This window comes from Homo sapiens, chromosome 1 (genome assembly GCF_000001405.40).
Source record: "Homo sapiens chromosome 1, GRCh38.p14 Primary Assembly".
Taxonomy (NCBI): domain Eukaryota; kingdom Metazoa; phylum Chordata; class Mammalia; order Primates; family Hominidae; genus Homo; species Homo sapiens.
In genome coordinates this window covers 32,763,891-32,788,597 of record NC_000001.11, presented here as the reverse complement: position 1 = coordinate 32,788,597, position 24,707 = coordinate 32,763,891, and the positions used below count along the sequence as shown (strand labels likewise).

General features: G+C 51.1%; 2 protein-coding genes across 6 annotated transcripts in view, besides 6 other annotated features; one reads left to right on the top strand and one right to left on the bottom strand.

Annotated features, from left to right (window-relative positions):
• YARS1 (tyrosyl-tRNA synthetase 1) overlaps nt 1-13,359 on the top strand; it is a 42,120-nt gene extending 28,761 nt beyond the window's left edge. For both annotated transcript variants that reach the window (XM_011542347.3, NM_003680.4), the window contains 7 exons: nt 1,523-1,658; nt 2,151-2,236; nt 6,059-6,194; nt 7,453-7,550; nt 8,320-8,513; nt 9,075-9,216; nt 12,507-13,359. In XM_011542347.3, coding sequence (XP_011540649.1) covers nt 1,523-1,658; nt 2,151-2,236; nt 6,059-6,194; nt 7,453-7,550; nt 8,320-8,513; nt 9,075-9,216; nt 12,507-12,617 — 903 coding nt within the window. In that variant the 3' untranslated portion in view covers nt 12,618-13,359. The remainder of the gene's footprint in view (nt 1-1,522; nt 1,659-2,150; nt 2,237-6,058; nt 6,195-7,452; nt 7,551-8,319; nt 8,514-9,074; nt 9,217-12,506) is intronic.
• Nucleotides 1,071-2,270: an enhancer, noted in NCBI's record as "BRD4-independent group 4 enhancer chr1:33251929-33253128 (GRCh37/hg19 assembly coordinates)". NCBI's record gives its function as "activates an origin of replication core promoter dependent on BRD2, P300/CBP, MED14 and CDK7 cofactors, and independent of BRD4, by STARR-seq in HCT116 cells {active_cell/tissue: HCT116}" and the evidence as "EXISTENCE:reporter gene assay evidence [ECO:0000049][PMID:35650434]".
• Nucleotides 7,675-7,844: an enhancer, noted in NCBI's record as "experimental_6796 CRE fragment used in MPRA reporter constructs". NCBI's record gives its function as "activates a minimal promoter by MPRAs in K562 erythroleukemia cells, with activity observed for both the introgressed and non-introgressed 1:33246440 variant alleles {active_cell/tissue: K562}" and the evidence as "EXISTENCE:reporter gene assay evidence [ECO:0000049][PMID:34662402]".
• Nucleotides 13,628-24,707, bottom strand: part of NHSL3 (NHS like 3) — a 33,141-nt gene continuing 22,061 nt past the window's right edge. For 2 of the 4 annotated variants that reach the window (NM_020888.3, NM_001369553.1), the window contains exons 2-7: nt 20,641-20,811; nt 20,481-20,536; nt 19,823-19,946; nt 18,812-18,925; nt 16,157-18,718; nt 13,628-15,733 (exon numbers count right to left, since the gene is read on the bottom strand). In NM_020888.3, coding sequence (NP_065939.2) covers nt 15,711-15,733; nt 16,157-18,718; nt 18,812-18,925; nt 19,823-19,946; nt 20,481-20,536; nt 20,641-20,811 — 3,050 coding nt within the window. In that variant the 3' untranslated portion in view covers nt 13,628-15,710. Of the gene's footprint in view, nt 15,734-16,156; nt 18,719-18,811; nt 18,926-19,822; nt 19,947-20,480; nt 20,537-20,640; nt 20,812-22,770; nt 22,972-24,707 lie in introns of those variants that run through there. The other 2 variants (NM_001198972.2, NM_001198973.2) reach the window with 2 other exon arrangements.
• Nucleotides 15,296-15,590: a silencer, noted in NCBI's record as "tiled region #15696; HepG2 Repressive DNase unmatched - State 25:Art". NCBI's record gives its function as "represses a minimal TATA promoter and a strong SV40 promoter by Sharpr-MPRA in HepG2 cells {active_cell/tissue: HepG2}" and the evidence as "EXISTENCE:reporter gene assay evidence [ECO:0000049][PMID:27701403]".
• Nucleotides 18,208-19,123: an enhancer, noted in NCBI's record as "H3K27ac-H3K4me1 hESC enhancer chr1:33235076-33235991 (GRCh37/hg19 assembly coordinates)". NCBI's record gives its function as "activates a minimal SCP1, AML or CMV promoter by ChIP-STARR-seq in naive H9 embryonic stem cells {active_cell/tissue: H9 hESC(naive)}" and the evidence as "EXISTENCE:reporter gene assay evidence [ECO:0000049][PMID:30033119]".
• Nucleotides 21,170-22,063: an enhancer, noted in NCBI's record as "H3K27ac-H3K4me1 hESC enhancer chr1:33232136-33233029 (GRCh37/hg19 assembly coordinates)". NCBI's record gives its function as "activates a minimal SCP1, AML or CMV promoter by ChIP-STARR-seq in naive H9 embryonic stem cells {active_cell/tissue: H9 hESC(naive)}" and the evidence as "EXISTENCE:reporter gene assay evidence [ECO:0000049][PMID:30033119]".
• Nucleotides 22,064-22,956: an enhancer, noted in NCBI's record as "H3K27ac-H3K4me1 hESC enhancer chr1:33231243-33232135 (GRCh37/hg19 assembly coordinates)". NCBI's record gives its function as "activates a minimal SCP1, AML or CMV promoter by ChIP-STARR-seq in primed H9 embryonic stem cells {active_cell/tissue: H9 hESC(primed)}" and the evidence as "EXISTENCE:reporter gene assay evidence [ECO:0000049][PMID:30033119]".

The window sequence follows — 24,707 nt, the reverse complement described above, 5'->3', positions numbered from 1 at the left end:
TAGCTGGGCTTGGTGGTGCATGCCTGTAATCCCAGCTACTTGGGAGGCTGAGGCAGGAGGAACCGCTTGAACCCAGGAGGCGGAGGTTGAGGTGAGTCGAGATCATGCCATTGTACTCCAGCCTGGGCAACAAAAGCAAAACTGTCTCAAAAAATAAATAAATAAATAAATAAATAAAAATTAGCCAGGCATGGTTTTGTACACCTGTAGTCCTAACTCCTCTTGAGGCTGAGGTCAGAAGATCACTTAATGGCAGGAGTTCGAGGTTACAGTGAACTATAATTGCACCACTGTACTCCATCCTGAGCAACAGAGCGAGACCATCTGAAAAGAAAAAAAATTGTAAGTAAGGACCAGGTAGCCACTCAGAAATACTTAAAAGATAGACATTTATTCTCCAACTACAAATTCATAACAATTTTGTGTGCTATAAACAAAGCCTGAGAAGAATATAAAAAATAAAATAGTTTAATTTGTTAGATGGCAGGATTGTGAGTGGTTTTTCACTGTCGCCCAGGCTGGAGTGTAGTGGCATGATCATGCCTCACTGCACTTTCAACCTCAGGCTCAAGTGATCCTCCTGCCTCAGCCTCCTGAGTAGCTGGGACCACAGGCGCGTACAACCACACCCAGCTAATTTTTTATTTTCAGTAGAGATGAGGTTTTTCTATGTTGCCCACACTGGTCTTGAACTCCTGGGCTCAAGCGACTCTCCAGCCTCCCAAAGTGATAAGACTACAGGTGTGAGCCACTGTGCCCAGCCAAATGTTAAAATATTTTTATTGCCCGGGTGCAGTGGCTCACACCTGTAATCCCAGCACTTTGAGAGGCCAAGGCGGGGCAGATCACGAGGTCAGGAGATCGAGACCATCCTGGCTACCACGGTGAAACCCTGTCTCTACTAAAAATACAAAAACAAAATTAGCTGGGCGTGGTGACAGGCACCTGTAATCCCAGCTATTCGGGAGGCTGAGGCGGGAGAATGGCGTGAACCCAGGAGGCGGAGCTTCCAGTGAGCTCAGATGGCGCCACTGCACTCCAGCCTGGGCAACAGAGTGAGACTCCGTCTCAAAAAAAAAAAAAAATCTTTATTTATTTATTTTTACCACATCCACAGGAAAATATCTGCAAGTACCTAATGTTAAAATCTTTGTAAAAAGAATTTTTTTAGCGAGGCACAGTGGCTCACACCTTTAATCCCAGCACTTTTTGGGAGGCCAAGGCAGGAGAGTTGCTTGAGCCCAGAAGTTTGAGACCAGCCTGGGCCACATGATGAAACCCTGTCTCTACAAAAAATAGAATTACCTGGGCATGGTGACACATTCCTGTAGTCCCAGCTTTCCAGGAGGCTGAGATGGGAGAATCTCTTGAGCCCAGGAGGCTGAGGCTGCAGTGAGCCATGATTGTGCCACTGCACTCCAGCCTGGGTGACAGAGAAGAAAAAACAAAATTTAACTTATATTAGTTGAGCATATTCTCATTTTCAACCACAAGAGGTCCTCTTCCGTTCTATGACTTCTAGGAGTCCAAGATTGATCTCCTTGATCGGAAGGAGGATGTGAAGAAAAAACTGAAGAAGGCCTTCTGTGAGCCAGGAAATGTGGAGAACAATGGGGTTCTGTCCTTCATCAAGCATGTCCTTTTTCCCCTTAAGTCCGGTAACACTCTCTGTTTTCTTCCTAGAGGCCAGGCTAGAATAGAAAAGTTCGTGCTGTGATCATACTTGTGATTTGTCACAGACTCTTCCTTCAGGGACTGGCTGCCCTGATTCTCTGCTCTGATTTCTTATATATTAAAGTATGAATGATGTTGGGATGTAATTTAATTGTCCATATATTCGTTACCAGGCTAGGTTCTGAGGGAATACTGGAGTGGGCAGAGGTGTTAGAAGTAAGGGTGGGGGCAGACATGTTGAACTAGAGGAATACAACAAAATAGATATAAGCCACAAGCCTTCCCCTGAAGCAGCTGAGATGCTAGCTGGGTATACAATAGTGCCACTCATCCAATTTAAGAATAATACCATACAATAAAGTTCAGAATATATGGCAAAAACTACAAATAGTCATGCATGTGGGCTAGGAATAGTCATGCATGTGAGCTAGGAATGCTGTCAATGAGTTTGTTGACATGGATCCTTTTCCTTATAGAGTTTGTGATCCTACGAGATGAGAAATGGGGTGGAAACAAAACCTACACAGCTTACGTGGACCTGGAAAAGGACTTTGCTGCTGAGGTAACATGAAAGGAAAAGGAATCCTTTCATGAAGATCTGTATTTTGTTATTTTTTGCTGACTGTTAGAACTTGTTTAGAACAACTTGTTCTGTGTAAAAGTGAGCTGCCTGCTATTTTTGCTCTACTTTTGGTAATCTCACTAGTGTCCATTTTCCTTCAAAATTGCAGTTTTGGTTAAAGTTTCTTGTCAGTTAGCTTTTCTGACTTAGGAATTTTGTTAATACAGATGGATTTCTATCCCTCGGGGCCCTTTCCTTACCTGGCAGGGACTCTGTCTCACCTCTTCTCAGGAAACATTTCTTATCAGTAAATGTCTGTAATCTTATACACACGAGTGGTCCCTTTAGGATGTACAAAAGCAGTACTCATTCAGTAGAAACCATACTTCTTCAAGTACCCATACAACCATTCTGTTTTTCACTTTCTGTATTCAATAAATTACATGAGATACTAAAAAAAAAAAAAAAAAAGAAAATGGGCTGGGTGCAGCAGCTCACACCTGTAATCCCAGCACTTTGGGAGGCCGAGGTGGGTGGATCACCTGAGGTCAGGAGTTCGAGACCAGCCTGACCAACACGGAGAAACCCCATCTCTATTAAAAATACAAAAAAGTAGCCAGGCATGGTGGCACGCACCTGTAATCCCAGCTACTCGGGAGGCTGAGGCAGGGGATTCGCTTGAACCTGGGAGTCGGAGGTTGCAGTGAACCGAGATCGCGCCATTGTACTCCAGCCTGGGCAACAAGAGTGAAACTCCGTCTCAAAAAGAAAAAAAGAAAGGAAAAGAAAAGAAAAAGAAAGATAATCCCCACTCAACTCTGCCAGACCTCTCCATCTTGGCCCGCTAGGTTTGTAGTTATATGCTACAGGGCTCTGTGTTTTTGTGGGGTTTTTTTTTTTTGAGACAGAGTCTCACTCTGTCGCCTAGGCTGGAGTGCAGTGGCACGATCTCGGCTCACTGCAACCTCCGCCTCCCAGGTTCAAGCGATTCTCCTGCCTCAGCCTCCTGAGTAGCCGGGATTACAGGTGCCCACCACCACACCCGGCTAATTTTCATATTTTTTAGTAGAGACGGGGTTTCACCATGTTGGCCAGGCTGGTCTTGAACTCCTGACCTCAGGTGATCCGCCTGCCTCGGCCTCCCAGAGTGCTGGGATTACAGGCGTGAGCCCCTGTGCCCGGCCAGGGCTCTGTTTATGCTCTCCAGGGCTGCATATTTTGTTAATGGCTTTGATGAGGATTCAGGTGGTTCCCAGATTCGATAGGCAAATGGTACAATGCTAATATACTGGTGCTTTAATCACTCTCCAAATGACTTAGCAGGCTGGAATAAAGGACCTAACTCAGCAAAAATGAAGTATTTCAGGAACAGATGCAAAATCAGGATTCAAAAACAAGAGATAATTATAAAAGGACAGAATAGAGGCTCCTATTCATTTCAACAGACACTTGAACAAAAGACTTACTAGGTGCCCATGTGTTAGGCACTATGCTAGGGACTGGTATTACACAGAGGGTTCAGTCCTCCTAATGCTCAGTCCAGTAGGCGAGGCAGACTTGTAAACATTTCATTGGCTGCATTTTACATATATATCTATATGTGTTTTTTAACATATGTGTGTATGTGTGTATATATGTGAATATATGTGTGAAAATATATATGTGAATATATATAATGAAAAGAATATATATATACCAGAAATAATATAGGAGGAAATGATTAACTGACTCTAGAAAAGCTTGTGGAGGAGACACTATCCAAGCACTATTTTGCTTGAGGAATAGGAGTTCACAAGGAAATCTGTGAGGGAATAAGTTGTACAAAGACATGGTAGGATGAAGCAGCATGATGTATGAGGAATTCCAGGTGGTTTGGTCTGACTAGAGTCTAAAAGGTGAGGAGGGGGATTATGGGAGAGATAGGCAGGGCCAGGTCACAAAGGGAAGATGTGATAATACCATATATAGGAATAAAATGGGGGGTTTTGTGATTGACTCTGAATTCAGGTCCAACCAATTTAATGGAGCTGCTAGAAATGTTAATGTACGCCAGGTGCGGTGGCTCACACCTGTAATCCCAGCACTTTGGGAGGCCAAGGCAGGAGAATTGCTTGAGCTCAGGAGTTGAAGACTAGCCTAGGCAACATAGTGAGACTCTGTCTCTACAAAAAAAAAAAAAAAATCAAAATACTGGCCAGCCATGATGGCGCATGCCTGTAGTCGCAGCTACTGGGAAGGCTGAGGTGGGAGGATCGCTTGAGCCCAGGAGATCAAAGCTGCACTGAGCCATGATTGCGCCACTGTACTCCAGCTGGGTAACAGAGCGAGACCATGTCTCAAAAAAAAAAAAAAAGTCTTTTGTGGGAATTAGGAATAGATGAAATTCCTCAGAAAAAAGGTCTGCAGCCATGTTATCCAACAGTACTTTCTGTGGTGATGGATATGTCCTATCTGTACTGCCTGATACAGAAGCCACATGTGGCTGTTGAGCACTTGCAATGTGGCAGGTGCAGTTGAAGAACTGAATTTCAGTTTACATTTAAATACCCACACAAGGCTAGTAGCCACCATATTGGACAGCAGCAGCCCTAGAGCTTTTATTAAAATTAAATATTCCCAAGGAAATGAAGAAGTAGTATCAGAAACAAAAATGTTCGCTTTGTTGTATTAAAAGTGTTCATTCCTAAGGGATGTCCCCTCAGAATATCTAGAAGATTCTTTCAGACCAGATTTGAGATATAAAAAAGGCAGTCAGCTGGGCGTGGTGGCTCACACCTGTAATCCCAGCACTTTGGGAGGCTGAGGCAGGTGGATCACGAGGTCAGGAGTTCAAGACCAGTCTGGGCAACATGGTGAAACCCCGTCTCTACTAAAATACAAAAAATTAGCTGGGCGTGGCTGCATGCGCCTGTAGTCCCAGCTACTCAGGAGGCTGAGGCAGGAGAATTGCTTGAGCTCAGGAGGCAGAGGTTGCAATGAGCTGAGATTGCGCCACTGCACCCCAGCCTGGGCGACGGAGCAAGACTCCGTCTCAAAGAAAAGGCAGTCACAGGACACAAGGAATAAAATGGAATTACTGAACTATTACCATGTACGAGCAGCGTTCTCATCATTTTCACACCCACATTCAGTGATTTAACCCTCATCCCCATCCTGTGAGATATAGCTGTTGTTAGCTTCACTTTATAAGTAACAAAGCCAACACTGGCCCGGCACGTTGGCCCATGCCTGTAATCCTAGCACTTTGGGAGGCAGAAGCAGGCAGATTGCCTGAACCCAGGAGTTCAAGACCAGCCTGGGTAACATAGCAAGACCCTGTCTCTACAAAAAGAAAAGAGAAAAAGCAGCAGCCAAAGCTTAGAGGGGTTATGTGCCTAGTTTGGAGTCGCACACAGCTAGCTGGGAATCTAATCTGGGTCTGTCGAACTCCAAAGCCCTTCCTCTTTCTTCTTACTCAGCTGTCTCCCTCAGGTTATCTTTAGGCCTTGGGTTACCTATGTGAATGTTTCTCTGCTTGTAAATACCAGTTGGTCTGTGACCCTACTCTAAGCATAAATGGAGGGACTAGAAGAATTAGACTAACAAATACATTCAGCTCCTAAACACCCTCAAGTTAGTATAGATTTCAGAATCAAAAGACTTGGATTTTGGACACGTTAGTCTTTCTGAATGTATTTTCCCTTCTCCTACCTGCCTCACAAGATTATCACAAGGATCAAATAAGACTGTTGGGAAAAACTCCCTTGATCCTACTTTTTTGGATTCAGGTGTCCTGTGCCCTGTTCTAGACTTTATCTCACTAGGTCTTGTTCGATTCTGCAGGTTGTACATCCTGGAGACCTGAAGAATTCTGTTGAAGTCGCACTGAACAAGTTGCTGGATCCAATCCGGGAAAAGTTTAATACCCCTGCCCTGAAAAAACTGGCCAGCGCTGCCTACCCAGATCCCTCAAAGCAGAGTAAGGCCAGCTGGAGAGGGGCCGACATCATCAGGAGAGAGAGCTTGTCAATGAGCCTTGGAAAAATGCCTGTCTTAAATTGAGGGCACAACAACCCAGGGGGTCTGAAGTGCAGGAATGTCATGTCCTACTGGCTCCTAGAATGGAACTTGAGTCATTTTGATTTGGGTTTGGTTAACATCAGGAAGTGATCACATCCTTTTGTACCGGCATTGCTGAGAGCTGCTGGTGTAAGATGTATACTTTGGTCCTTCTAGTCTGTTTGTTAAATCTGCCTCTTCATTAAAGATAGTGACCGGGGCCAGACACAGTGGCTCACACCTGTAATCTTAACACTTTGGAAGGCTGAGGCAGGCGGATCACTTGAGCCCAAAAGTTAGAGACCAAAACCCAGTCTCTACCCAAAAAAAAAAAAAAAAAAAATTAGCCAGGCATAGTAGCACATGCCTGTAGTCCCAGCTACTTGGGAGGCTGAGGTGAGAGGATCACCTGAGCATGGGGAAGTTGAGACTGCAGTGAGCCATGATCGCACCACTGCACTCCAGCCTGGGCAACAGAGTGAGACTCTATGTCTCAAAAAAAGAAAAATGATAGAAATTAGATTAGACCTATTATACCCAACCGGTATATAGGGTATCGATAGTTTCTTACACAGCTGTTGGGCAGAGCCTGCAGAGCTTAGAGAAGCTTATCTTTAGATTCTCCCAGTTTCCTTCTATGTGCATGGGCCTGGCTCTTAGTTGGCCATCCACTTGTGCGTAATGCTAAGATATTGGCATTGATAGCTTTGTGCGACCCTTCCAGAAAAAAACTCAGTAACTCAGTAAAATTTTTTTTTTTTTTTTCTAAAAGAGACAGAGTCTGGCTCTGTTGCCCAGCCTGGTCTTGAAGTCCTGGGCTTAAGCAATCCTCCCGTCTCAGCCTCCCAAAGTGCTAGAATTACAGGTGTGAGCTACCACACCTGGCCAAGACTCAGTAAATTCTATGTGGAATGCATGAATGGAAATACCTAAAGGAGGCAAAGCTACTACTGCTCCCTCCCCGCTAGTCTAATAATTGAGGGAGAGAACAGATGAAAATCAGGTATGTCATGTCTGAAAGGTTGCCAACCCAGTATTAAAGAAGTTACAACTCAGTGTTTAGACTCTGGGGATTCTACACTAAATCTTACCTAATCTCAGTGTCTTAACGTGGTGGGATCAGCAGCTGACCTGCCACAGGGAAGAATTCTACCTCATGGGGTTCTTCTCATTCCCAGAGCCAATGGCCAAAGGCCCTGCCAAGAATTCAGAACCAGAGGAGGTCATCCCATCCCGGCTGGATATCCGTGTGGGGAAAATCATCACTGTGGAGAAGGTACTCATTTTTCACCACATCTCAGAGAGGCAGATTGGGGTCAGGTTTGTCTGTTTCCATCCGGAGGAAACGTGGCCTGGAGATGGGAAGTAACATCCTGAGGTCATATTGCAAGTCAGAGTGCAGGTGTCTAATTCCAGGCATCAGGCTTTCTGTTGCGATTGTTGCCTGTGGATATTATGCAACCAAACACAGCCAGGAACTCAGCATGGGGGACGGATGTTAGTCAGAGGGAACTTGTTTATCTGTTAAATCTGGTCTGATAGACTCACCTGATCCCTATCGGCTTGCCTGGACTAGCTACAGGCCTTATCTTGGATGGGCCACTTTGCCCCCTTCAGAAAGTGGTGGAGGGAAGACTTCCTTTTTCCCAGAGACAGAAGGTTATGCACCCAGTGGCCTGGGACCATTGTTCTGGGCTTTTTTTCCCTTCGACATGGATTTGCTTCTCACTGTGTACCCCAACCACCAAAACCACCCTGAGATCAATGCTGGTGCTCCTGCATCAGATGGCTTAGAGATCCTTCCACCTCTTAACACAAGCATCTAGGTCCACTTTACTCAAATCTGGCCTCAGTTGAGAGCAGAGTATACCATCAGAGCCCATTCTCCTGTCTGCTGTCTGGGACGTGGAAAGAAAGTTAGCTCTAGGGGGTCTTTCCAGGGGCCTCTGTAAGGAGTGGATGCTCCTTTCCGGAATCCAAGAGTTCACCAGGCTGCTTCTCTAATGGACGATGATCCTCTTCCTCCTGACGTCTCTCCCTGGCAGCACCCAGATGCAGACAGCCTGTATGTAGAGAAGATTGACGTGGGGGAAGCTGAACCACGGACTGTGGTGAGCGGCCTGGTACAGTTCGTGCCCAAGGAGGAACTGCAGGACAGGCTGGTAGTGGTGCTGTGCAACCTGAAACCCCAGAAGATGAGAGGAGTCGAGTCCCAAGGCATGCTTCTGTGTGCTTCTATGTGAGTGAGGACTTGGAGTGGGGCACAGGACCTGGGGAGGCCAGGAAGAGTAGGGAATCAGCCCATATGATGTCCTTCCACACACCAGGTGGAAGCTCTGAGAACACGTGCCTCTTCCTTGCTGATGCCAAAAGTTGATGCATGAAGGACTTATCGTACAAGTACTGTTAATGAAGCATTTTACCTACAGTTAATTTTGTTAAAATAGAAATGGAGGGCTCAAACCAGTACATACCCAAGTCTTACTACTAGTAAGGAGTGGAGCAGGGATTCAAATCCCAGTTTTGATGTCTATAAAGTCCTCGCTACGTTATTTTATACTTCCTCCCCTAGAAACACAGATTTTGGTATCTTGACACACAATTTTGGTATAGCCTGGGTTAATGTAACCCTGGTGATATGCAGGGATGTAGCAAGATAAGAGGACCTCCTGGGGCTCTGGTACTGAGGATGCCCTAAATCCCATCAGGGCCCCTGTGTAAAGGCCCGGATTGCTTTGGCCTCCACAGTCACTGGAACCCATCCATAGCCTCACTCTTCTCTTGTCCTGTGTCTTCCCAGAGAAGGGATAAACCGCCAGGTTGAACCTCTGGACCCTCCGGCAGGCTCTGCTCCTGGTGAGCACGTGTTTGTGAAGGGCTATGAAAAGGGCCAACCAGATGAGGAGCTCAAGCCCAAGAAGAAAGTCTTCGAGAAGTTGCAGGTAAAAAGCTGTAATTGTTCCCTTTCTTGGCTGGGCTGCCTGGACTGTGTCCCCAGACTGTCCTGTTACTGAAGCCATAGCTGCCCCTCTCTGTTGGGACTTCCTGCATTTGAGCCCCTCTCTCCCTCCTTCTTTCCAGACCTTTTTGAATTCAAGGTGCCTAAGGAGCATGGGGGTCTTAGGACCTTGCATTACATCTCCGACAGATCATTTGAGGCCCTGTGTCAGGGACTTCAGACATTTCTTCATTTGATCTTCAGTCTGTAATAGGAGATTATCCCCATTTTACCTGGCAGGATACCTGACAAGGCCACATAGGGTCACCAGAAATGATGAGGGCAGGGCCAGGCATGGTGTCCCATGCCTGTAATCACAGCACTTTGGGAGGCCGAGGCAGGCGGATCACCTGAGGTCAGGAGTTCAAGACCAGCCTGGCCAACATGGTGAAACCCTGTCTCTACTAAAAATACAAAAAATTAGCCAGGCGTGGTCGTGGGCGCCTGTAATCCCAGCTACTCCGGAGGCTGAGGCAGGAGAATCACTTGAACCCGGGAGGCAGAGGTTGCAATGAGCCAAGATCACGCCATTGCACTCCAGCCTGGGCAACAAGAGTGAAACTCCGTCTCAAAAAAAAAAAAAAAAAAAGAAAAGAAAAGAAATGATGAGGCCAGGATTGGCCGGGCGTGGTGGCTCACGCCTGTAATTCCAGCACTTTGGGAGGCCAAGACGGGAGGATCATGAGGTCAGGAGATCGAGAGCATTCTGGCTAACACAGTAAAACCCCATCTCTACTAAAAATAGAAAAAAATCGGCCGGGCGCGGTGGCAGACACCTGTAGTCCCAGCTACTCAGGAGGCTGAGACGAGAATGGCATGAACCTGGGAGGTGGAGCTTGCAGTGAGCCGAGATCACGCCACTGCACTCCAGCCTAAGCGACAGAGTGAGACTCTGTCTCAAAAAAAAAATGAAAGAAAGAAAGAAATGATGAGGCCAGGATCAAAACCTTCCCAGGGTCCCTCCTGCCCATCTTGAGTTTAGAGCACTCATTGTCTCCTTGCCTTCTGGACAATGAAAATCTGGCCTGCCCCAGTGATCCCTGAATTCATTCACTCATTCATTTAACAAATACCGATTCCATAATATAGCTGTCAGGCAGTATTCTGGGTGCTTGGGCTACCTCAATGAATAAAGCAGCAGGAGTTGACTCTCCTCATGGAACTAACACTCATGGGTGACTCTTTCTAGTTAATACCGTGTTTCTTCAGTGAGATAGAGGAGTGCTTCTGGAGGACACTGAGAGTCATTTCTACTCTCCATCCTCTTGCATGAGGCCATTTGCTTTGCCCACTCCCTCCTTTCCTGGTTTTCTAGGCTGACTTTGTGAATCTCTTTTTTTCTGGCTATAAAATAAATTTTCATGGTAGAAAACATCTAAAATATAGGAGAAAAAAAAATCCTAGTCCTGCCACATAGAGATATTAAAGAATGTTATTAGTGATTATTTCCTTCTGGTCTTTTGCTATGCTTGGAGTGATAATACGTTTATGGTTTAAGTCATACTAAATGCTGTTGATTAATTAGAAACAGGGTCTCACTCTTGTCACCCAAGCTGGATTCCAGTGGTGCCATCATAGCTCCCTGTAACCTCAAGCCTGTAAACCTCCTGGACTCAAGTGATTCTCCCGCCTCAGCCTTGCAAAGCACTGGAATTATAGGCATGAGCTACTGTACCTGACCATGATTTTTATTTTATTTATTTATTTATTTTTCCAAGATGGAGTCTTGCTCTGTCGCCCAAGCTGGAGTGCAGTGGCACAATCTCAGCTCACTGCAACCTCCGCCTCCCAGGTTCAAGCAATTCTCCTGCCTCAGCCTCCTGAGTAGCTGGGATTACAGGTGCCTGCGACCACATCCAGCTGATTTTTGTATTTTTAGTAGAGATGGGGTTTCACCATGTTGGCCAGGCTGGTCTCAAGCTCCTAACTTCATGTTCCACCCACCTGGGCCTCCCAAAGTGCTGGGATTACAGGCATGAGCCACTGTTCCAAGCCTCCTGGCCATGATTTCTCTCACGCCTGTAATCTCAGCACTTTGGGAGGCCAAGGCAGGCAGATCACCTGAGGGCGGGAGTTCGAGACCAGCCTGACCAACATAGAGAAACCCCGTCTCTACTAAAAATACAAAATTAGCCAGGCACAGTGGCGTATGCCTGTAATCCCAGCTACTTAAGACGCTTAGGCAGGAGAATTGCTTGAACCTGGGAGGTGGAGGTTGCAGTGAGCCAAGATCACGCTATTGCACTCCAGCCTGGGCAATGAGAGCAAAACTCCATCCCAAAAAAAAAAAAAATTGAGGGGTTGCACTGTATAGTATTCTACCATAATTATCAAAATCTAACTAAGCTCTTTTTTTTTGGAGACGGAGTCTCACTCTGTCACCCAGGCTGGAGTGTGGTGGCGTGATCTCGGCCCGCCACAACCTCCTCCTCTCAGGTTCAAGTGATTCTCCTGCCTCAGCCTTCTGAGTAGCTGGGACTACAGGCGCCCCACCACCACACCCGGCTAATTTTTTGTAATTTTAGTAGAGACGGGGTTTCACTGTATTAGCCAGGATGGTCTCAATCTCCTGACCTCGTGATCCGCCCACCTCGGCCTCCCGAAATGCTGGGATTATAGGTGTGAGCCACCACGCCCGGCAATCTAACTAAACTCTTATTAGACATTGAGGTTATTTGGTTTTTCACTGTTAGAATGATGTGACAGATGTGACAGATGTCTTCATGCATAAGCCTTTGCACTTAGGTTTATTTTCTTAAACTAACTCCCTAAAATGAACTTACTTGAGTCAAAAGATGAATGTGAAAGCTTTTGACAAACATTTCTTAGAAAAGCTGAGCCAGCTTACCTTACCCTACTGGTATATAAGAGAGTTTTCAGGCTGGGCGCAGTGGCTCACGCCTGTAATCCCAACACTTTGGGAGGCCGAGGCAGGCGGATCACTTGAGGTCAGGAGTTCAAGACCAGCCTGACCAACATGGAGAAACCCCGTGTCTACTAAAAGTACAAAATTAGTCGGGCGTGGTGGTGCATGCCTGTAGTCCCAGCTACTCGGAAGGCTCAGGCAGGAGAATCGCTTGAACCTGGGAGGCAGAGGTTGCGGTGAGCCAAGATCACGCCATTGCACTCCAGCCTGGGCAACAAGAGCAAAACTCTGCCCCCCCTCCAAAAAAGGGGGGGTTTTCTTGCAGTCCCACCACCATCATTAAAATCTCTCTTATCTGTCTTGTCCAGGCTGACTTCAAAATTTCTGAGGAGTGCATCGCACAGTGGAAGCAAACCAACTTCATGACCAAGCTGGGCTCCATTTCCTGTAAATCGCTGAAAGGGGGGAACATTAGCTAGCCAGCCCAGCATCTTCCCCCCTTCTTCCACCACTGAGTCATCTGCTGTCTCTTCAGTCTGCTCCATCCATCACCCATTTACCCATCTCTCAGGACACGGAAGCAGCGGGTTTGGACTCTTTATTCGGTGCAGAACTCGGCAAGGGGCAGCTTACCCTCCCCAGAACCCAGGATCATCCTGTCTGGCTGCAGTGAGAGACCAACCCCTAACAAGGGCTGGGCCACAGCAGGGAGTCCAGCCCTACCTTCTTCCCTTGGCAGCTGGAGAAATCTGGTTTCAATATAACTCATTTAAAAATTTATGCCACAGTCCTTATAATTGGAAAAATACTGGTGCCCAGGTTTTCTTGGAGTTATCCAAGCAGCTGCGCCCCTAGCTGGGATCTGGTACCTGGACTAGGCTAATTACAGCTTCTCCCCAACAGGAAACTGTGGGATTTGAAAAGGAAAGGGAAGGGAAAACAGAGAACCTAGTGGTCTACCAAGTGGTTGGCAACTTTCCCAATGTCTGCTTACTCTGAGGCTTGGCACTGGGGGCCAGGGCCTGCCCCAGGGCTCCTGGAATTTCCCTTGATCCAGCTAGGCTGGGACACTCCCTAAATCAGCTGCGTGTTGTTAGCATCAGGCAGAATGAATGGCAGAGAGTGATTCTGTCTTCATAGAGGGTGGGGTACTTCTCCATAAGGCATCTCAGTCAAATCCCCATCACTGTCATAAATTCAAATAAAATGTCTGAACAAGGGTGTCTGGATGTGAGCTGGACCATCTCAGGAGAGAACACAAGTGTGAGGCAGCTGCTGGCCCCTCACCTAGTCTGGGGTTCCTTTACCCTGTAATGGGGGGTGGGGGGTAGAAGATGGACAAGACACCTTAACAGTCCCTTTGGCAGTACTAGGCAGAAGAGGCCCATACTTGGGTCCAATGTGTGCAGCAGGCAAAACATTTTCCCTTCTAAATGTGGGCCCAGACCACTGCCCTGTCCCCCCCACATTAAGAAGCAGTAGCCACAGCCAAGTTTCAATCATTTAATTAACATCTTTAAATGAAACACAGTTTTCTTCATGTGTCTCACTCAGGCTTCAGGGCAGAGGGAATGGATTTTTAGACATATCAAAGACTCAAAAATTTAAAGAAATATATATATGTATATATATACTTCTAACATTTTATGGAAATTAAAAATCAGAGGCTTTTGGTCTCTCCATTTACTCTAGGTCAAGCTCATTTACCCCAGAGGACAAAGAAGGGCTGCCTCTTCTAGACCCTCCCTTCTCCTTTGTCCTCTGTCCCACCCAGCAGGGAAACAAGCTCAGAAGATCCTAACAGGATAGAGTTCCAGTAATGTTGGAGGAGGGAGAGGGAAAGAGAAGTCAGGTTCTCTCCCACCTCCAGCCATTCCCAGGTTGCTGCCAGGGCCTGGTTTCATGCAGCTTTGACCCAGTCCTGGATCCTAGGGGGTGGGGTAGATCAGGAGCTCTGAGCAGAACAGTGCTCACTGATTATCCTCTTTCCCCAACTCAGTGGGCAGGTGCAGCGTACACCCAGCAGCACTCTCCACTGCCCACAGGCAAGGGAAGAATATTGATTGATTAGCTACAAGGAGAAGACAGTAGTGACTAGTGGAAAACACCCTGGAGAGGGCCAGAGGAACCTGGCTCTCACCACATCCCCTCTGTTCCCAGCCTTGGTGAGGGGGCGGGGAGGTCATGTCAACCTCTCTCCTTGGTGGTGAAGCTAAAAGCAAGGTTCCTTGCCAGACTCAAGCCCAAGTCACTGTTAAGGAAAGAGGATCAAGAAAGAAGCGGTGGCCCTGGGGGGCAGCCACGCTGCTGTGGACCCACAGGGGCCAATGGGGAAGCCAGCTTGCCTAGACAGGTGGCACAGGCTGAAAATAGAAAGGTTAACATTCCCGGAGAGTACAGTAAGAGAGGCTGATACCTAGGGGACCACCACCCAGCCTGCCCTAGAAGCACTGGGTGCCCCTCATTGACTAGAGAAGACTTGAGTAAAATGCACCTGTGGCTTCCCATCCTTGTCACTCAGCGTTAGCTGCCCCCAGTGGAACCACCTGTGCTGAAAGGCAGCTGCAGAAAGGACATGCACCGAAATGAGGAGAGAGAAAGGTCAGAGAATGAAGTGTGGAGGGCCAGGCCTGGGCCCACTGCTCAAGGAAGCTCCCCCCCTCCAGATGCTCCCTTCCATCCACCTCCTCAGTGCTTGCTCAGCCCAAAGGCTCCTGCCTCTGAAGTGCTGGGGGCCCACCCACCCCAGTGTGGTCAAGGAGGCAAGGGGCAGGTGCTTGACACTGCCAAGTGCCCCGAGATGACTCTACTGCTCACCCATTTCTTTGGGCCCTGGCAGTCTCCTACTTGTCCCCAGCATGGAGCACCTGGCAGAACTGGAAGGCAGGAGGGTGGTTGGTGAGTTGAGGCACAGGAAGGCCAATCCCCTCTGCACCTTTTGTGCTTTGGAATTCCACAGCCCCACACCTGCCCCCAGCCTAGAGAAGCCTGTGGGAACACAATGACTTGGCCACCTTCAGGAACCAAGAGGAGTAAACTGGACTGGGCAGGAGGGCACAGACTGGTCCCAAGCTATGGGCTGACTGCCGGGGATGGATTCTGCTGCCATGTAAACAGGCCCTTGGAATGCAACTTCCTGGGCCCTGGAGGATGGCCATGCAGCCACTTTTCAAAAGTGCTTTGATTCTGGACTATAGTATGTGCATGGTTTGGACATGAAAAAAAATGAAACTCAGGTGAGGTGTCCTGCTCCCAACTCTGCAGCCTCAGGGCCAGCAGGGGGCGCAGCCACCCTCTCCCGCCAGCTACCCACTTCAAGATGAGGCTAAGGCCAAGACTGAAGCGGCAACTGCCAGAGGTGAACCCATTCGGGAAAAGGCATGAGCGCAGGATGACTCTGAGGACAGGAGCAACACCAGGCTTGCATAAGTATCGAAGGCCGTGGAGGTTAAGGCTGCAGGCGCCCTCTCTATTAGGTTGTGTCTGCTGTATCCTCTCGTCCTTGGAGCTGCTCGGGTCCCTGAGATTGTGTTTCTGGGATGGGTCAGCAGTGCCAGTGAGGTGCCTGGTGGTCAGGCCAGCTCTTTCTGTGAGTCTGGGGGAGAAAAATAAGAGACACTTAGCAAGGGGCCTCCTGGCTTGGTTCTGGCACTAGGAGCCCAACAAAGCATACCCTCACCCAACCTTCTTACCGCTTTGATTTACTGACAGTGCCCGCAGCACTGGGCTGGACACCCTACACATGTTCAGACACTATAATGTAGGTGTCACTGCCCCACACTTTACAATGTAGCTAGGAAGGGTAGGGAAAGAGGCAAAGTTGGAATTCAAACACAGTAGGCCTGACACTCACACACCATTCTCCTCTGGGCCCCAGCAAGGGTGACAGCTTGCCCTTCCCAGGCATTCTCAGACCAGAAAAGTTAAAGATCCAAGAACAAATCCCCCATGGCGGGACTTCAGATTCCTACTTCCCATCATCAGCAATGGGACCTCACCCTAGCACTGCCCACTGTACCTGAGCCCGGGAGGCCCATCTTCTCCTCTGGGCCCACCAGCTGCAGGACACCTCCATTCTCCGCCAGCTCCCTCTTAGTCCTGTCCTGGGTGTGAGGGAGCCCATTGGTGGGAGGAGCAGTAAGGGGCTCAGCTCGAGGGTAACTGGGGGAGGCGGGTGGGGGGACTCCCACAGACGGCTTGCGGGCCACAGGTGGGGGAGCCTTAGGTGACTTCTTTGGGGCCTGGGGTGGCCGCTGCTCTGAGATGCTCCGGAGTTCTGCCACCAGATTCCGCTGGAGGTCAGCCTGGGTCTCAGGGGACACGGGCCGCTCCAGCTGCAGCTTCCTAGAGCCCTTGGAGAAGATGAAACTGGCCGTTGAGGCAGGGGACTGGGGAGGCCGTGGCTCTGCCTCAGGCGGTCCGTTGGGCTGAGCACTTGAGAGGCCTTCACTGGCGGCCAGGCTGCAGGCCTTGAGTCGGACCGCAGCATGGAGCCCTGAGGAGGGGGCAGGCACTGGGCTGGCCCGCCCTGACAGGGCCCTTCGCAGTGGTTTCTGGGGGGCCGATGGCCCCAGTGCTGGGGTGGGAGCCCCTCCTGGAGCACCCACGGAGCGCAGCCGCACCATCTGCAGGAGCGAGGGCGTGACCAGGGGCGCACCTACGTCCTCCCTGGGAGGCCCACCACCCTTGCTACAGCCCACCGGTTCCTTCTGAGGGAGCTTGGCCACATGCCCTGGGGCGGAACTAGCAGGAGCTGGGGCTGGCGGAGCTGGAGGAGGGTCTGGGCTACCCGGGGGCTGAATCTGCAAAGCAGTAGCTGAGGAGGACGAAGCAGCCGGGGAGCTGACAAGCTCTGGGGAGCCTGAAGGGCCTGCAGGCTCAGGGCTGGCCACAGAGAAAAAAGCCTCCTCTGGTGGGGGGAAGTCAGCCATGGACAGGTCCTGCTCCTCAGGGGCAGGGGGTGGGGGAGGGGGCCAGTTGGGATCTTGGAGGGGCTCCTCAGCAGTCTCTGAGGCAGATGGTGCCTCCACAACCACCTCTGGCTTCTTAGTGGGTGGTGGGGGTGGATGATAAGATGGGGGTGGGGAAGGTGGGGGTGACTGGTCTTTGGAGATGACAGGAGACTCCTGCAGTGGAGTCAAGGTTGTCTGGGGAGTGGGAGGGGACTGAGGACTGGCGTCAGTGGTAGAAACAGGCCCAGGAACCACAGCAGGGGCGGCTAGAGCAGGGGCAGCTGGGTTAGGGCTCCTGGGCTTGGAGGGAGGTGGGGAGAAGGGGGCAGGCACCTTGGGGTGAGGAGGTATGACAAACCTGTCACCCAGGGGGGTCAATATCTGTGGCCCAGAGCGGTCTGAGGGGGCTGGGTCAGAGGAGGAGGAACATAAAGACGTGAGGGAAGAGGAGACGGAGGCCCCAGGGGAGCGAAGAGACGTGACACGCTCTGGTTTAGGGGGCTGGGCCTTGCCTGGGGAAGCAGGGGGACCTGCCAGGCCCTTGGGAGGGAGGGTGGGAGTACCACTTTGGCTCGAGTATCCACTGGAGGGCGAAAGTGTCCGTTCTGGGGACCGTGGGGGGCGCCGGGAACCACCCGGAGACAAGCCAGGTACCCAGCTGTTGGCTGGGTTGGGTGGACAGGGTGCTGCCCCCGCCCCTTCTGAGCCACCAGTGGTGGGTGGCCGAGGCAGCTGGGGCTGCTGCTTACGCTCAGGCTTAGGGGGCAACCCTAATGGCCCATCAGGCACTGCTAAGCCCCGCTGATGGAGGGAGTGGGTCCGGCGGGGAGGGGGTGGAGGCCGCTTCAGCTTACGCAGGGACACACTCCGGCCAGACAACTGCCCACTGCTCCGAATGCTGAGTGTGTCTGAGGCCTCAGCAGTGCTGCCCCCACTGGGAGAGCCCCTCCCACTGCCTCCCTGGGGAGGGGGTACCACGCTATTGCTAGCCGTAGAGCTCTCCGGCTGGCCCTCAGAGCCACCCTTAGAGGAGAGGGTGGAACCGTCAGACACAATGGTGTCGGAGGATTGAGAGTGGCTCCAGGTGTCACTGGAGGAGGATGGGTGGCGGCTGCGGGGCTGTGGGCTGGAGACGGAGGAGAAGCGCCCCAGCGAGCGGACTGAGGCTGGGCTGGCCGAGTGCAGGCTGCAGCGGCTTAGTGTGCGCAGGCTGCAGCGGCCTAGGGCCACCACGTCCACTGTAGGCGGCAGCACAGCATGTGGAATCAACTTCGACAGGTAGGTGGCCTGGGGGGAGATGGACATGGCCGGGCTCAGGGGCTCTGCAGGCCCTGCCCCTCCTGTCAATCCAGGCACTGCTAGGGACATGGGCCGGGTCAATGGTGGGGCCCGGGTACCCGTGGACCGGCCAACAAAGGTGTCATCCCGGTAGACACGGTCAATGTGGCGCTGCAGCATGGCCTCTGTCTCAGCGCCAGCCTCCGCCTCCGCCTCCAGCGCCTGCAGGGACACCCGGGCCCCCATCCCTGAGGTGCCTCGGGGGCGGCCGTCCACTGTGGGGATGCGTACGGCATCCCGTGCACCAGGAGCCCGGGGCGTGCCTGGTGCCTCACGCTCATTCCTCAGGCCTGGAAGGGACAGGGAGGAGGTGGGGTCAGCAGAGAGGGGATGACCAAGGCTCCCCACCCACCCCACCACTGCCCTCCTAACCCAGGCCTCACCAAGCTCCTTCTGCACATGCTGCGGGAGTCCCAGCACAGTGCTCCGCCGCTCCCGCCGACGCCGCCCTGACTTTCCAGATTTGGGAAATGAGTCATGGGGTCGGAAGGTGGAGCCTGGGGGCCAGTCGTGGGAGAAAAACTGTTAGAGCAAAGGACTCCAGGCACATTCTGCAGGGCACTACTTTTGTAATAAGAGCTCTGCGAGAAATGGTTTCCACAGTCAAGTAGGTATGGGCAAGGCTAGGTTAAACAAAGCTAGAGGCTTCTTTCTGTAAGACTAAGGCTACTAAGTCAATGATGGTAATTTCCCTTTAGTGATAGCTTACTATTTAGTAAACATATTATTACGTGTTAGTCGTCATTCTAAACATTTGGCATTCATTCCAATAGGGTACTTATCCTCATTTTTATAGAACATCAAACAGAAGTTCAGAGAGGTTAAGGGTTTTCCCAAGGTCACACAGCTGGCACTAGTTAGTTACACCAGGCTTCCAACAGTTAAGATTTTCTAACTCTTTTTTTATTTTTTTTTTGAGATGGAGTCTCACACTGTCGACCAGGCTGGAGTGCAGTGGTGCAATCTCGGCTCACTGCAAGCTCCACCTCCTGGGTTCACGCCATTCTCCTGCCTCAGCCTCCCAAGTAGCTGGGACTACAGGCACCCGCCATCAGGCAAGGCTAATTTTTTGTATTTTTAGTAGAGACGGGGTTTCATTCACCGTGTTAGCCAGGATGGTCTCGATCTCCTGACCTCGTGACCCGCCCACCTCGACCTCCCAAAGTGCTGGGATTACAGGCGTGAGCCACCGCACCCGGCCGCCAAGATTTTCTAACTCTTAACTGCTTTATAGTTAGTGTGTATCACGAATGTGCAAGAGGACACAGGGTACTGTGTTTCCCGAATTCATTGAATCAGAGAGCCTGGTGAAACACTGGATAAGGAGGAAAAGAAGCTACAGATGCTGGGACCCAATGGAGCCCACTGTCCCTCTCCCCTGCCCATGAATCCACCTTTGCGCTGGATCATCTCCGAGCGGATGGAGAGCGCGTCCTCTGCTGTGGAGCTCTCAGCCACGTAGGATGTGGTCTGACTGCAGAAGGAGATGTTGTCTTCATCCGGCCCCGTCCGGGAGGACTATCAGGGTAGAAGGAGATCTGGGTGGGGCTGTCTCCTCAAGGCTCCCCATTGGAACTTTTTTTTGAGACAAATCCAGCTCAGGCTGGAGTGCAGTAGCGAAATCTTGGCTCACCACAACCTCCGCCTCCCAAGTTCAAGCGATTATCCTGCCTCAGCCTCTCAAGCAGCTGGGATTATAGGTACCCTCCCACCATGCCTGGCTAATTTTTGTATTTCTAGTAGAGACAGGGTTTCACCACTTTGGCCAGGCTGGTCTCAAAATCCTGACCTCAAGTGATCCGCCCACCTCAGCGTCCCAAAGTGCTGGGGTTACAGGTGTAAGCCACCTCGCCCAGCCTCCCACTCGAACTTTTGAGTCACAGATCCCCTCCAGCATCACCTAGCACTGAGCAACCCTGAACTAGCCCTCAGGGTTCATTTAGTGTAGCCCTTTGTGATAAAGAAACTGAGACCCAGAAATGTTCCAAGACATCCTTGCCAGGGGTCAAGCAGGTAGAGAAGAGTCAGGACTGAGCTGGAGGCAGGGCTCACCTGGATACTCTGGGTGTCTCCATGGTCCCAGCCACCCTTGTTCAGTTTCTGTTTCTCTGGAAGACACCAGAAGGGTCTGTTGGGTTAGGCCCCTGACCTTGACAGCTGACAGTGCAGCACTGGAGGGAGGAGAGGGGAGGGGAGTGGAGAGGAAGCTTACCTTGGTGTTGTAGGGAGCGGAGCCCCTCCTGGGCCTGAGTGTGCAGCTCTTCCAGGTGGGGGGGTCGCCCACTGGGAAAGAAGACGTTGTCCTGGTGCTCATCCACTGCAGACCCTGGCCCCTGGCCAGGCCCTACACTTAGATGTTTGTCATTCTCAGCCTTGGCAGAGCCTAGTAGGAGGGAGGAGGAAGGGAAATGAGGTAAAGGCATCTGGGCCCTGCAGGGGCACAGGTCTCACGGCAAGGGCAGTCATGGTCCCCAGACTGCACACGGCCATTGCATATACAAGCAATGCCCCCTTCCCCAGTCTGGACACATAACCCACAGTTCTGGAGTAAACACTCAACACACACAGCCCCCATATACACAAACTACACCCAAGTGTACATAAATCTGAGTACCCACACCACACAAAGGGCCCCATATAAGGCCCCACACACAGGGCACACAGGTACACAGGTCTACTGTGTACGTACACAGCACTCACAGATGTCATTCATGTATATAAACAAAGGGCATCCGAGTATAAACACACATAGGTACACACACCAAGCACACCCAGCCCGCACGTAAACACACAACACCCACAGTCCCTGCTCTGTATATACACAAACAGTAACCAAGTATACACACGACTATGTACTCACACGTCACTCAGAGCCCCACAAAAAACATCCCGAGTATACACATAGCCCATAGTAAATACATTGCTCTCGCCTCCATACCCAAAACCCCACTTCACAGGAAAACAAACCACTCTTTTCATGCCACCACTTGAACCAGGTCCAGGAAGAAGATATCACGGGAAATCAGGAAGGAGAGACAGCTGGCATGAGTTACAACCATATTCCCAGAAAATCCTAGGGGGGATGCAGACCAAGGAGATAGCCTCCTGGGTCCCCTACTCACCCATGTGGCTGCCCCTTAGTGGAAGGATGGGCAGGGGAGGGGAGAAGAAAGACCCAGGCCCCTCCACCCGCCCAAGGGAGCTCCAGTCTCTCTTGGGGAAATAGTCCCAGGTATCCCCCTCTCCTGGAGGCCCTGGCCCTGGCCCTGGCCCCTGTTGCAGAGGAGCCAGGGATCCATTACAAAGGATCCTGTTACAAGCCCCGCCTGTGGAGGGGCTGGCCATCTAATCCTGGGGATGGGGGGCTGTGTCAGCACTTTGCAGCCCCAGCCCCCCCTTTAAATGAAACCCACAACATAAGCAAAAGCGCTGGAAGGGTCATGTGACCTTGGTAACACCTTATAAAGGGACGGGAACAAAACAAGCCCTTTAAAGGGCCATGCTCCAGGAGCAGGGTCTTCAGTTCAGAAACCTGCCTTTCCTCCTCCCTCAGCCCATTCGTCAACAGCCAGAGCTCCTGCCCTAGGGAGTCTGCAGGAATCCCACAGGTCAGAGCTAGGAGGCCCCCAACAGATCCAACCAGACCAGTGCCCGAGATCCCCAGATTTTACAAGTGGGGAAACGGTTCAAAGGGGCAAGGCCTTGCCTAAGGTCACCCAGCAGTAGGAGTCAGACTGACCCTGGACTCAACTCCAGGTTCCCAGAGGGGACTCCCGGATCACACTCAGAGTAGGGGCCCCCAACCCTCAAAAGTCCAATAAACTCTTGTCCCTATGTCTTAATCCAGGTCTGAAAGCCCAATTCCTAGGAGAAGGAAGGAGGAACAGGCCCCTCCCTCCAAAACTTCTCCATTCCCAGGCCTCTAAACAGGATTTCACTGAGCAGGCTTCCCAACTTCCAGTGGTACTACTCTCCTCTCTTCTGGGCCGCCCACGTCCCATCCTCCCCGGCACACTAGGAAAGGCTAGTACATCTTGACTGGGAGGCTGTACCCAGTAAAGTGTGGGTACCCCGGCAGGGAGGCAAGTCTCACGGGAGGGCTGCAGGCTTCAAGGTCAGAGACACCTGGATCCATCCTCCCAACCCACAAGCAGGGCCCAGACAAAGGCAGCAACAAAGCGGCTGGACAAAAGCACAGCCGGATGGGAGATTCTGGCCTCATTATCAGCCCCCAGCCCCACCCCATTACTTTTGCCCAGCCTTGATTCCTCATTCTACATAAGGGTCTGGGAAAGGGAGGCATCGAGCATCCCTCCCCTCCCCCCAAGCCACACCCACTCACCCTTCTTCTTAAACAGCCCTAGGAGCGCCGGGAGGCGGCGGCCAACGAACACCACCATGACTGCGGGCGCCACTCGAGACGTTCCCTATCCCACCCTGCCTCTCCAGAGCAGAGCGCGGGGCGTACCTTCACTGTAACCCAGCACTATGGGGATGCGAGCCCTCCCGCCCCGCCGCAGAGCACCGGCTCCAGACAGAGGAGGGGGAGGGGCTGCTCTCCATGTCCTCCTCCCACCTTCGCCACTGATCCCGCCCATCTGCCGACCCCACCCCTTAAATGGGGTGCAGGGGCACAGAAAGGCAACTGAGGCCAGGAGTCCGTGGGTGCTCTGCTCCAGTAGAGTATGATTAGGAGGACCGAAGATACTCAATCCAGCAGCAGATCACTCACCCTGCCTGCAAGTCCAGAGTTAAGGCAGGGGTCCCAGCTGCCAGATGGTAGGTGGAGGGGCTACCAGACTAGACTTGGCAGGGTGCCCACCTGCAAGCCTCCTGGCTGCCTAGCGTAATTCCCTGGGGAAAGAGCTCGGAGCCTGCAGCAGCCAGGCAGGAGCCCAGAGCTGCTAGTGGGATGGCAAGGCTGTGGGCAGAGGCCCCCAGAGGGGCAGGGGCCAGTCCCAGGACACAGTCCTGGGAAGCCAGGGAGATGCCCAGAGCAGAACCACAGTGGCTGGCAGTACAGCCCCTCATACATAGGTTCAGCCCCACACTTTCCAAAGGACTTTCTTCCTACTTTGGCAATGTGACATCAGAAGCCCAGAGAAACACAGTAAACTCTCCAAGATCACACTTAATCTTGCAGAGGCTAGACTTCAAAGCAGACCTCCTTCTCCCCTAGCCTGGAATTCTTCACATTGGCCCCACGCTGTCAGTGATTCTGTCCTGGATCACCAGGCAGGGAGAACAGAATTAGCCAAGAAACAGTCCATGGGTGAAGGCAGTAAAAAAGGAGGTGAGGTGGAGAAGTACTGGAAAAGAAGTCAGGTCGAGGTTCAAATCCAGCTCCATCACACAAGTCACGATCTCATATGAAAATAAGGCTAATAACTCCTCTTTTTAAGATTGCTGTGGCTCACGCCTGTAATCCCAGCATTTTGGGAGGCCAAGGTGGGCAGATCACTTGAGGTCAGGAATTCGAGATCAGCCTGGCCCAACATGGTGAAACCCTGTCTCTACTAAAATTAAAATTAAAAATTAGCTTGGTGTGGTGGTGCATGCCTGTAATCTCAGCTACTCGGGAGGCCGAGGCAGGAGAATCTCTTGAACCTGGGAGCCGAAGACTGCAGTGAGCCAAGATCCCACCACTGCACTCCAGCCTGGATGACAGAGCAAGACTCCATTTCAAAAAAAAAAAAAAGAAAAAAACAAGATGGTTGTATCCATTCACTTGATCAGCAAACATGTGTTAACCTAGTACTAGGGACTATAGTTAATGGAGAAGAACTTTATCTTGTTCACCAGTTTATCCCCAGAGGCTAAATCAGTGCCTGGAACATGTTATGAGTTGAGTTCAAAAAATATTTGATGAATACATGGATGAGGTAAACTAACAATGTAATTTTGGGTAGTGAAGACTCCAGAGCTGTAACAGGAAGCTTTGGTGGGGCCGGGGGGCGGGGAGAGTGGTTTAGTTAGGTTGTCAAGAAAAGCCCCTCTAAGAAAAGAATAGGCTGGGCATGGTGGTTCACACCTGTAATCCCAGCACTATGGGAGGCCGAGGCAGGAAGATGGCTTGTGGTCAGGAATTCAAGATCAGCCTGGGCAACAAGGCAAGATCCTATCTCTACAAAAAACTTTGAAAATTACCCAGGCGTGGTGACTCACAGCTGGGGTCCCAGATATTGGGAGGCTAAGACAGGAGGATTGCTTGAGCCTGGGAGGTTGGGGCTGCCGTGAGCCATGTTTGAGCCACTGCACTCCCGCCTGAGTGACAGGCAT